Here is a 12,456-nt window from a genome sequence, read left to right as displayed (position 1 = left end):
GAGTTGGGCTTTTTGATATTTTCAATATAATGAGTTCTAACTGCTATATAGTGGGTTCTGAGGCCCCAAAGTTTGGTTTAAAAAAAGTTTGGATTTAGAATTTCCTAATGTGAAGTTGTATCTATAAACTTCCTGCACCAAGACCCATCCCCAAGGCAGTGTGAAATTTTTCAGTACAGGTTGAGCATTCTAAATCCAAAAACTTGAAATAAAAAAATACTTCAAAATCTGAAACTTCTTGAGAAAACAAAAAGCTCATTGAAGCATTTCAGACTTTAAATTTTCAAATTAGAAATGCTTAGCCGATAAGTATAAAGTAAACATTCCAAAGTCCAAAAAAGCCTGAAACACTTCTGGTCCCAAGATTCTCAGATAAAGGATGTTCAACTTGTATCAGATTCCCTTGACTATGGCATTGTTAATTGCTGCTTGCTTTTCTTTGTGATAATTGGGACCCATCTGGCAGAAATTTCAGCATTGCACTGTGGCATTGGGGACTGGATAGAATTGGTCTGGGTTATTTCCCTGGATGAGGCTGATATAATCCAAGTACACATATAGAATGGAGAGGAAAGCCAAGGATAACACAAGGGAAGAGGAGGAAGAAAGATGAACTAAGGAGGTGGCGACAAGTGGGAGGCAGAGTGGGAGGCAGGATGGGGGAGTAGAGTGCACCTGGAGCTTTGGAGTGAGGCAGCCATCTTTGATGCTCTTTCTCAGTGAGTGCAAGCAGGGGCTGGGCATTTGCTGAAGGATGGGCAAGCTGGAGCTAAAAGAGGATCCTGAGAGATTGGTGAACATCTTCCTCCTCTGGTACTAGGAAAAAGCAAGTCTGGCCGGCAAAATACCACAGCCAAAGACACAATAACAGGTTGTGTTCCAGGCATATAGAAGAGGTTATTGGTTTCTGTTATGGCTAATTTTCTGCATCAACTTGACTGGACCTTAGGATGCCCAGATAAATGGATAAACATTATTTCTGGGTGTGTCTGTGAAGATGTTTCTGGAAGTGATTAGCATTTGAATTGGTTGACCAAGTAAAGCAGATGGCCTCCCCAATATGTGTGGGCATCACCCATCCATTGAAGACCTGAATAGAATGAGAAAGGGGAGGAGGAGCAAATTAACTCTGCCTGACTGCTTGAGCTCAGGCATCAATCTTCTCCTGCCTTCTGCCCTCCAGTTCTCAGGCCTTCAGACCTGACTCAAATCTATGCCATCAGCTTTCTGGTTCTCAGGCATTCAAACTACACCACCAGCTTTCCTGGGTCTCTAGCTTGCAGATGGCAGATAGTGGGACTTCTCAGCCTTCATAATTGTGTGAGCCAAAACCTTATAATAAATCTCTTCATATATATGAATATATATGTGTGTGTGGTTTCCAGAGAAACAGAACCTATATATATATGTATATATATACATACACACATTTATACACACACTTATATATAAATATGTTCTGTCTCTCTGGAGAACCCTGACTAATAAAGTTTCCTAAGAATAACTGGGAACCAGAAAAAAGTTCCCACTCAATACAAACCACTTTGAGTAGGGATTAAAATTTTGGCATAAAGGCAGGTTCATAGATTTGACTTGGGCTTTGTCAACAGTTAAAAATATGAAATAAAGTAATGATATCGTATATTTAACAAATCATAGGTCATAATTGAAACTATGAGCTGATTTTAAGGACAAACAAGAGTTGAATCAAATGTTGATGATCTTAAGAGTGTATATTTTTTTCCAGTAAAGTTGTTGGGCAGCTCATTACTACTGCCTATATGTTTCATTCGGTTTTTACAGTATACTTATCAAGAGAATCATTTCTTGCACAAACATTCATGGACTTTAAAATTTTTCACAAGGGTATCTCTTAATACTTTGAGATCACAAGTATTCTCTCTGAAGTGCTTTTGCATTCATTTGCATGGTGTTCCAGTTACTTTGGCTACATAATAAACCATCCCAAAACTTAGTGGCTTGAAAAAACAACAGTTATCTTTTTAGCTCACAAATCTGCCATTTAGGCAGGGGCTGGTGGAGAAGTGTAGTCTCTACTCCACATGGGGATGCTTGATAGGACTAGAGGGCCCACTTGCAGAATTGCTCACTTGCATGGTGGGCAAGTAGGTGTTGACTCTCAGTTGGGAGCCCAGTAGGAGCTGAGAAGGGAGGGTGCCCTTGTTTCTCTCTAGCTTAAGCCTCTCCCTGTGGACCTCTCCACAGGCTGGACATCCTTCCCCTTGTCTGGATCCCAAGAATGAGCATTTCAAGGAAACCAGGCTGAGTCACATGGCTCTTTCTTATCCAGCCCCAAAGGTCAAATAATGAACAAAAGGGTGAGCTCGAGAGATCTACTGTACAACATAGTGACTATAGTTAGGAATAATGAATTGTATACTGGATAATTGCTAAGAGAGTAGATTTTTAAGTGTTCTTGTCACGAATGAATAAGTATATGAAGTAACACACAAAAAAAATCAAATAGTGTCTTTTTCCCTACTCTATTTGTCAGCATCACTGATTCAAGGGAAATGGATTCTACTTCTCTATGAGAAGGATGTAAAAGAATGGGGGACCATGTTTTAAAATAACTACAGTTCACCATCTGGCCATGTTATTTATGTTTTTCCCATATGCAAAATATACTCACTTCTACTAATGCTTCCCCCAAGTCCCATCTATTATGTCGTTAGGAGCAGGCTCAAGGTCTAGAGTCTTGTCATCTAAATCAGGTTTAGCTGTGGATGAGGCTCCTCTGGTGCAGTGCATTGGGTACAGTTCTTTGAGTACTATTGCCCTTAATTTAAAGGCCAGTTACCTAAACAGGTAAGTTATTTCTCCTCCTTACATAATGAAGCAAACAAAGATAATTGCTAAAAGAACTTCACCCTGACAACCCACATCCCATGTTGAGCAATGGGGTAACTGGGACAGGAGATGTGATCCTGATACCGCAACATTTGTTCCCAATTTGGAGGAGTTTATTTGAGAGGTTCCATCCCTTAATCTTTGTTTGGAAGACTTTGGTATGTGTGTTACTTTATGCACACTCAGCCACCTAAAGCTCAAAAGTTTCTTTCCAGATCCGTGCTCCCGGTATCCCAGTCAAGTTGGGTGAATTCTCCCCTGAAATTCTTCCATCACTCCTGAAGCAAAGGTGAGGCAAATATCAATATTACATGTATCTTACCTATGGTTAAGGGGGGAAAATGGTGATTATGCACTACCATATTACTTTAACAAGTTATTTTAATTGGAAATAGTTTCAGGCTTACAGAAAATTTGCAAGAATAGTACAAAGAACTCCAATATACTCCTTACCCAGACTCAAGCTGAATAATTTCAATGAATCACCTCCCAATTCCAAAAGAGAGGTTAGGTAAAAAGAGAGAGCTGAATATCTCTGAGAATCCAGACAAATTTTGGCTCACTTCCAGGTACAATTTGAGCATAATTCCTTCAAAATTCTGATAATGGACATCTTTTGACTGTTGGCCAGGAATCTTCCCCCTTTCTTTAATGTAATAGGATCCCACATTTCCTTGGAACTATCTCTTCCCCGTTTTACAACATGTGGTTTATTTGGAATTAACCCCACCATGGTTCTCTTGAACCAACCAAAGGTGGGACCTAAGCTGGTCTAGTAAGAGTGAATCTGTTCAAATTATGCTAGGAATTCTAGTATAAAGAGCTATTCTTTCCGCCGGGATAGAAAATTGGAAACATATAGCCTTAGAATGCACTTGAAACTATCTTGGGAATACTAAGGAAATAGCCTTAAGATGAGGGCAACCCTGAAGAATACAGAGCTAACAGAGAGAAAGAAATCAGATCCTTGGTGATGTCATTGAGCTGCTGCTGGATCTAGCTTTACCTGAACTGAACTACTTCTGAGGTTTTATGCCCATCAGCCAATGAATTCCTTTTATTTTTTAGTCAGTTTAAATTAGGTTCTCTGTTATTTTCAACCAAAAGTGTGTTAATGCATACTCAATATGGGTACCCATATAGGGCCAAGGATACATTCTAGTGATGAGAAAAGGTTCCAATTTCGGGACCAGAAGTGTGGTACAGTGTGTGATGAGCCTTAGAGAATGGGGCTGGTGTTCTTTCAACCCTCCTGCTTTTGTCCATGATTGGAGCAGAACTGGGTCTGCAAAGAGTGGTGGTCAGGAGGCCACAGCTATGAGGAGAAGAGGAGAGTAAAGGTTGGAGCCTGATGCTGGGGAGAGCAGAGACCATGCCTGGAGTAGATCCATCTCAGAACACAGAGAAAGGATGGATGCAGGGCTGGACAGTTTTAGGGGGAAGACAAGAAGGGGAGCCTCAGGCTCTTAGAAACCCTGCTTGAGTGCCAACAGACTACTCTTCTAGGTAAAGAATGGATGTAGAAGAGGCTGCATGGGAAGCAGTAGATAACAGGAACATACAGTTACAATGTATTATTCGCCTGTGATGATGATGGTGATAATGATGTTAATTATTATAACAATGATAATAATGATGATGACATTGATGAAGATAATAGCATTGGTTGAAAATTAACCCCTACACATGTTTATTGATGTCTGCTTTCTTGACATGATGTCTGCTGTCTTGCCATGCCCAGTATCCGTTCCCCCTTTAATCTATAAGAGCATCTTGATTTTCTTTGAATACTCCTTTCTCCGCTATCAGTCCATTATCTGGGTAGAGTAGAGCCAATTTGGAACTCAGGATTCTAGACATGGACATATGACCCAATGTTGGCCAAGGGTAATATGATATCTCCCTGGGCACAGTGATAAGTGGAGGAGTGAATATATAACCAAAAGTGATCCAATCAGAGCTAATGAGGGCCAGTCTTAAGACTATTGGGAGAGAAGCACTCTTTCTCCATTAGAGAAAGCTTAGTGCTGCTGGAGGCCAGTTTGTCACCCTGAAGGGAAGGTGTCTTAGTCCATTTTGTGTTGCTATAAAGGAATATCTGAGGCTGAGTAATTTAAAAGAAAGAGGTTTATTTGACTCACAGTTCTTCAGGCTGTACAAGAAGCATGGCACCAGCATCTGCTTCTGATGAGGGCCTCGGGAAGCTTCTAATCATGGTGGAAGATGAAGGGAGAGCAGGCACGTCACGTGGTGAGAGAGGAGGAAGCAAGAGAGAGAGGGGAAAGGTGCCAGGCTCTTTTAAGCACCAAGCTCTCATGTGAACTAATAGAGTAAGAACTCATTCATTATCATGGGGATGACACTGAGCCATTCATGGGGGTCTACCCTAATGACCTAAACACCTGCCACTAGGCCCCACCTCAAACTTTAGGAATCAAATTTCAACATGAGATTGGGTGGTGGGGGGCAAATGTCCAAACAATATTCGAAGGCTTATAAGAAAATGGAGCCAACTGAGACAGAGAGAGAGAGAGAGATTTCTGATGATGTTTGAACATGTAGTTTCAGGTGTGTCTGAAATTATATCTGCCCTTAAACTTTTCAGTAACACTTTGGACCAATAAATACCCACTTCATTGATTTTTAGTTTAGTTTAGTTTTTTGCTTAACATGCCATTAGATGGGTATCTGTCATTTACAATCCTTACGATAATCCCATGAGGTAGACATTTATTATTCCCCTTTTACAGATAAGAAAACTGAGGCTGAGTGAAAAGTGACTGCTTCAACCCACACAGCTGGTAAAGGGCCAAGCGCAATAAAAATCCAACCCTTTTCTGGCTCTGGGCCCAGTGAGTTGCACATTCCATGCCCTGGATGAGTTCCATGTTCCTTTCCAGCTCTCAGATTCTATCTCCCTGTGCTGTCTCAGAATTGGATAGGTGCCAGGTCGGGGGCAGCAGGTAGTGGACCAGCTGCTGCCTGGGTCAGGAGCCCAGCATGTTCTCAAGGACACAGATGGGCTGGCAGCCTTGTGCTCTGGGCAGGGAGCCTAAGGCGGGGGTGGACACTGGTTTCTGGAGAAAAAGCTCATTCAAGACTCACTGATGCCCAGCACTAGGCTCCAAGCCTCCAGAGCCAAGGTTTGGCACGGCTTCTCTTTATGTGCCCAGGGCCCAGCGTGGAATGTCTGTTTAACTCAGCTCTTGAGAGCGCCTACACAATTGGAGGGAACCCCCTTTGGTGATGGTGATTGTTTGCTTAAATGTGTGTGTGTGTGTTTGCAGGGGGAAGCATGGAAAAACCTGGAGGCTTCTAAATTCCAAGGGCCTGTCACACCCAGAGGAGCCCAGAAAAGTCTTGTTGAATTGAGATAAGCAAATATCTGTTTATCAGATCCCTTTGAATTACCAGATTCTCCACTCCAGAAATACAATTATTTGATTTTTATAAAATTAATGAATTAATAGATGACGTTCTATAGAATACAAATAAAATACCACTACTAACTACTAGTTAGCACCATTTGCAGAACACCTGTTATGTGTCAGACACTAGCTGGATGCTTTATATTTATGACTGCATTTGATTCTCATTATAGCCTATGAAGAATGTGTCATTATTTGTTTTATATATAGATGAAGAAACAGAGGCACAGGGACATTAAATCACATATCCAAAGCCACAAATAATGCATATCTGCAGAACTAGGAATTTCCACCCAGAATTGGATGACCTCAAAAGCATGGCTTTTTCCACTCTACCTGTTCTGCTGCCAAGTATTGAGTGGAACAACAGCAATCAGAAGTCCTCAGTTCTAATCCCAGCACTTTGGAAGGCCAAGGAGGGAGGATCCCTTAAGCTCAGGAGTTCAAGATTAGCCTAGGCACCAAAGTGGGACCTCATCTCTACAAAAAGATTAAAAAATCAGCCAGGCATGGTGGCGCATGCCTGTAGTTCCAGCTGCTTGGGAGGCTGAGGTGGGAAAATTACTTGAGCTGAGGATTCAGTGAGCCATGATTATACAACTGCACTCCAGCCTGGGAGACAGACAGAGACCCTGTCTTAAGAAAAGAGAAATCCTCAAGGCAGTTGGTAGTTTTCACTTGATTCAAGCAGCTAGAAGAGCTGTTTCTTCCAGTCCAGGTTTGAATGTATTTCGGCTCCTGGCTTTCTCCTTCTGCATGGCTCACAGGAAACACAAGCTTAAATGGCCAATGCAGAAGCCTTCATCTTTCTGACTCCAACCCCACTCCCATTCCTGTCTTCCTGATTTTACTGGCTGAAGCCAGTTAGCCAAGACAGAAGCCTGGGCATTCTCGGAGACTTTTTCCTTTTTATTCCTCATGTCTAACCCATTGTTAGGTCTGGTGCTATGCGGACCCCCATCCTCACCTCAGCTTCCTGTATCAGTTTAGGCGTCATCGTCTCTTTCCCTGGTGAATGCAGCAGGCTCCTCACTGGCCTTCCTGCCTCCATTCTCCTCCGATTTATTGTCCGCATCAATTGCATGAGTGATCTTTCTTTCGCACAGATTCGATCTCAGTTATTCCTCATTGCCTATAGGGTAAAGTTTGAATGCCTTAGTCCAATGTCCGTAGACTGACATGCCCCCTTCCCTAGCCTCATCTACCACACCCTCTTATTTTGCCACTCCCTCAAAGCACAGGCCCTTATAACTTTTTGTTACCAGTATGAGGCAGAAGACAAGAGGTGAGTGTTGTGAAGAGTGAGGTGAAGAAGGGAGGGTTGACCCTTTCCACTAGAAAAAAACCATGTGTTCAGTGTCGTGGGATCTCGCTCGTTAGAACTGCATTCCTCCTCTTGGGAGAACAAGAAGCGGGATGAGGAGTGGGCCAGAGTGTGGACAGGGTTCCACTCTACCTGGACGTTGCTGGGATCAGAAATATAAAGTAGATACAGTGGAAATTGTCCACTTGACCTCCACTTAACTGTCTTGCTGGATCAGTGACTTTTCACCTGCAATCCTATTGCCTGATGTTGGTGGCAGGCGGAGCCCCAAGGCCATTAGACTGCTCTCCCGTTGAGATGACCCATGTTTTTCTGTTTTCGTCAGTCAACTTGCTGCTTAGCAGGAATCAGTTGTATTTGCTACCCTGCAACAATTCATCTCTGTACAGTCTTCTAAAGCATTCAGTTTAGCGTTCACAGGGGCAACCATTCTTTTTTGTGCCCATACTTTGTCAGTTTACATCATGTTTAACTAAATAACATAATGACAATAGTGAGTTCAATGTCTGTAATACATCAGAAAAAAGTTCTGTTTTCTTTGAGCACTAACTTGAATGATTTGAAAAGACCCCATAAATGTTAGTTGCTAAAAAAAAATCTGTACAAATATGTGTGGGTTAGAGACCTGCAAAGTGTTAGGGTAAAAAAAAAAAAACAAAAAAACACTGTCCATGATTCTGCACTCAAATGACATTTTCTGTTCTACTTTAATGATGCCTGAAGCATGAGTGTTAATTGTATTATGGCTATGGTTTATAGAAAAACCGGAATGCAGAATCCGATCAACAGAGCTATTCTGAGAGGCCTCAGAGGCCTTCATCTAAAATTATGTCAATACATGCATATTTATATACTTTAAGTTGAAGTAAGATGTTTAGCAGTATGTAGTTCATTAATTAAATTATTTCCTACTATAATGGACTTTTTTGATTACCAGTCAAATCTGGACCCCAACTGTGTAAACTCAAATATATATATATATATATATATATATATATATATATATATATTTGGGGGCTACGGAGTGTCACCCATGCTGAGTGCAGTGGTATGATTATGGCTCAATGCAGCCTCAACTCCCCAGCTTATGTGATCCTCCCACCTCAGCCTCTTGAGTAGCTGGGACTACAGTCTTGTGCCACCATGCCCAGATAATTTTTCATTTTTTGTAGAGACAGGATCTCACTATGCTGCTGAGGCTGGTCTCGACCTCCTGGATGCAAGCAATTCTCCCTCCTTGACCTGAGATTACTGGTGTGAGCCCTTGTGCCTGGCCAACTCAATTATATTATCATTCGGAGGGAAGAGTGGAGTGACAGTTTTGTTCAGGGATCCTGGGAGATGGGGGACCAGGTTATAGATAGCTGTAGAGGTAGATATAGACAGACATGTAGGCATAAATACATAGATGTAGAAATACAGGCATAGACATAGACTTGGATATATGCATATATGACCACCATCTTTTAATATCCAGTTCATGAGAATCCTTCCCCAGATCATTCACTCTGTAGTTTGTACTTTCATGTCGGGTTTCACATTGCATGGTAATTATTATTTTTCTCTATGTTTGGATATTCCCAATAGAGGCAAGCCTTGATGAAACAAAAGGAGCCCAAGTTTTGAGATCAGACAGACTTGGGTTTGAATCTCAACACTATCCCTTCCTGGCTGTGTGACTTTGGATAAGACCCGTGAACTCCCTGAACCTGAGCTGCAACCGTAAGCCAGAACACATATAAAGTGCTGAATAAATGGCAGCTGTCAGAATTCTTATTTAATATGTGCATCCCATTGGGTTGTACATTTCTGCTGATGCATCATTTTTTTCTGAGATTCCCCAAGGCTGGACTGTGTCTTGTTCAACTTTGTCTTCGCAGTGCCCCTTGATAAGTATAAGAATGCGCTAAGAGTTGGAAGCATGAATAAATCATCTTGTACTTTTTTGACGTTGGTCGTAATTTTTGGATCATTGTCAGAGGCCATCGGCTGCTTCCTTGAAAGTTTCAGGGAGGCTGAGGGGAAGGAGAGTGAAGGAGGCAGAGTTTGGAAAAGGATGGGGGACAGAGAAGGACAAGGGGGAAGAGAGAAAGGCAGGATCTGGAGCATCTGGATGGGCCTGTCCTTACTCCCTTGGTGGCCTCATTAGGTCTCGGAGCCTCATTAGCTCTCGGAGCCCAGGTGATAGGATGCTGCTGTGGCAGATACCTGGGAGACTGAGGCAGGCTGGTGGAGATGCAGCTGGTCTGTGAGCTGGAATGTCAGGGCCTGTCAGTCACTCAGGTCCCTCTGGCTGGGAATGAAGCTGGAGCTAGAAGCCCCAAGAGAGATGACAACAGATGCACTGATGGGGGCCGGGGAGGGAGACAATCTTTCCTGAGTACCTGCTGGGTTTTTGGCACAATGCTGGGCATGTCTACACCCATCCTCATTTCCTGTTCACATTGACCCTGAGGAGTAGGACTAACTCCCACTGAGTTAAAGATAAGAGACTGAAGCCCAGAGAGGCTGAGTATTCTGGCCAACGTCACACAGCTAGAAGAGGATTTGAAACCAGATCAGTCTGAAGCTGTGGCCTGGGCCTTTTTCTCTGGGTGTCTTTCAGTCCATTCTGTTGGGCAGAGCTGACAAGGCTGCCAGGCCATTTTGAATGCACAACCTTGGGGCCCCTGTAACGGAAGGGGCGCTGACTTAGAACTGGGAGCCCAGTGCAGAAGTTCCTGTTCTGCCCTTTCCTGGTAGTGTGACCTTAGTCAAGCCACTGCGCTTCCCAGAGCCTTACTTCCACCATGTATAACATGGGGGCAAAGACACTTATCTTGACTATAAAATAGACAAGTTGGGAATGATACTGGTGAGCTGGCCCAGCTCCCCAAATGCTGGTGGGACCTCAACCCTGGCTAGAGTCCAGGCTCTTGACACCACCGGGAGAAGGAATTCAAGGATGAGTCAGGAAATAGTGAAAGTAGGGAGATTTACTGCAAAGCAAAAACTACACGCTCAAGGAAGGGGAGTGCAGGGGTATTCAAAGAAAGTCAAGCAAGGGGGTTTGGGGCTGCTACGTTTATGGATATATTTGCCTAAGGGGTGGAATATTCTTGAAGATTCCTGGAAAAAGGTGGAGATTTCTCAGAACTGTGGTGCCACCCATTTTTACACTAAATATGGGTGGTCTTGGAACTGTCAAGATGCTGGTGGGTGTGTGCCTGAAATTTTCTATTTTCCTGCGACTACCCTGTATTATTCCTGTCTCAGGAGGGTGAAAATTATTCATAACGGTTGCAGAGTGCTTGTTCTGTGACACGTACTATGATAAGCCCCTTATGTGTAACCTCCTAATAAAACCTCACACAACCATAGGAGGTAGGGGTTGTTAACCTCATTTATTATAGATGTGGAAATCCAGGCTTTAAAGGGTTATATGGCTTTCTCTCTAGTAACACAGAGTAGGAGCTGAGCTGCATTGCCGCCGCCAGCTCCAGAGCCTGCCTGCTTGCTCTGCTCTAAAATGTATATAAAAGGACTTTTTAGAATGTAAAAGAACAGACATCTATTGTTTATTGCGGCTGCAATGTGCCAGACCTTTAGCCTGTAGCTTCCCATGCGTCATTCCACATATTCGCCAAAGACCCTGGGAAGCAGGGCCCAGTACGCTGCAGCTCAGAGAGGTTAATTCACCTGTCCAAGGTCACACAGCCAGAACTGGCAGACCTGGGGTGTAAGCCAGGTGTGCCTGACCCCCAAATGGCAAGGGATGCTGCTGCTGCTGTTAATAATGATGATGATTGGCTTGGTCCCAGGGTGACTGGAATCCAGGAGGTGGTCAGGCCCAAGGTGAAGCAGCTACCCCCAAGCCTCGGGACCAGGTGCTGTCCTTAGCGGCGCTCCTGCGCGTCCGCCTGGAGATGTCCCTGTCGATGCCGCTGTTTTGTTTTCCTTTTTGTATTTTCACCAATGTTTCAGTTCGGCTTTTCTGTCCCGAGGCGTTTTAATCACCAAGGGCCCTGTTCCAGACGTGCTGCGCATAAACAACGCCGGAAATAAATCCTGCCTGCTGCTGCCCCAACAAAGCCACCCCGCGGAGCCCACGGCGCGGGGGAAGCGGGGCCGGGAGCGGCGGAGACTGCCCGGGTTTCGACCCAGCTCTGCCTCTGCCCTGCCGCGCATGACCTCGACAGGGCTCTGAAGGGCTTCGATTTCCTAATTTGCCAAATGGGAAGAAAGACTGGCAATCCTCACAGAGATGGGCAAATCACATGGATCTGCAGGAGTGTTTGGGAAACTGCGAGAAGGTGAACCAGGTCTCACGAGGGAGCGATGGTGCGGGCTGCGGGCAGCTTGTGCTGTTCCATTTGCTCCTCGCGTGCAGCAAGGACGCAGAGAAGTCTGGGTTTACCAGCCCTCAGCAGGAGGTGTCCCGCGCCACACCCAGAGCTGGGATTGCGGGCGCGCCTAGGGTTCCAAAGCCCGCGCTCTTCACCCTTTCCAAGTAGAGCAAGTGCCCGAGGCTGTTCCTCACGAGCCCAGCAATTTTCCTTTGAGAAAGAAACCCACAGACCTGCAAGGCTCCCGCCTACTCAAGGCATAAAACAGGGCGCGTCGGCTTGGAGCGGGAGGGGCTTGGCGCCTCCCTGGGCCTCCCACTTGCAACCCCAGCGTCCTCCGATTCTAGGGTGGAGGGGCGGGGTGGGGTGTGGCCTCGGAGGGAAGTGTGCCGAAGCTGTGCCCACTGTGACCAGGACTAAGTCCACGCAGGGCCTAGAGGGCATGGATAGGCCCTTGGGAGAGGAGAGGCCCGGGAGGGAACCCCTGCTGGCGGAGCTGGACCGTGGG

General features: G+C 44.6%; 1 long non-coding RNA gene across 1 annotated transcript, besides 1 other annotated feature; it reads left to right on the top strand.

Moving 5' to 3' along the window:
* The first annotated feature begins 2,676 nt into the window (after nucleotides 1–2,676).
* Nucleotides 2,677–9,572, top strand: LOC124901140 (uncharacterized). The gene is made up of 2 exons (XR_007059065.1): nucleotides 2,677–3,160; nucleotides 9,211–9,572. It is a non-coding gene; the product is annotated as an uncharacterized LOC124901140 (long non-coding RNA).
* Nucleotides 11,197–11,983: an enhancer, noted in NCBI's record as "H3K27ac-H3K4me1 hESC enhancer chr5:175200075-175200861 (GRCh37/hg19 assembly coordinates)". NCBI's record gives its function as "activates a minimal SCP1, AML or CMV promoter by ChIP-STARR-seq in naive H9 embryonic stem cells {active_cell/tissue: H9 hESC(naive)}" and the evidence as "EXISTENCE:reporter gene assay evidence [ECO:0000049][PMID:30033119]".

This window comes from Homo sapiens, chromosome 5, assembly GCF_000001405.40.
Source record: "Homo sapiens chromosome 5, GRCh38.p14 Primary Assembly".
Classification (NCBI taxonomy): Eukaryota; Metazoa; Chordata; class Mammalia; order Primates; family Hominidae; genus Homo; species Homo sapiens.
Note: the sequence above shows the minus strand (reverse complement) of the source record. Positions and strands in the feature narration are given on the sequence as shown.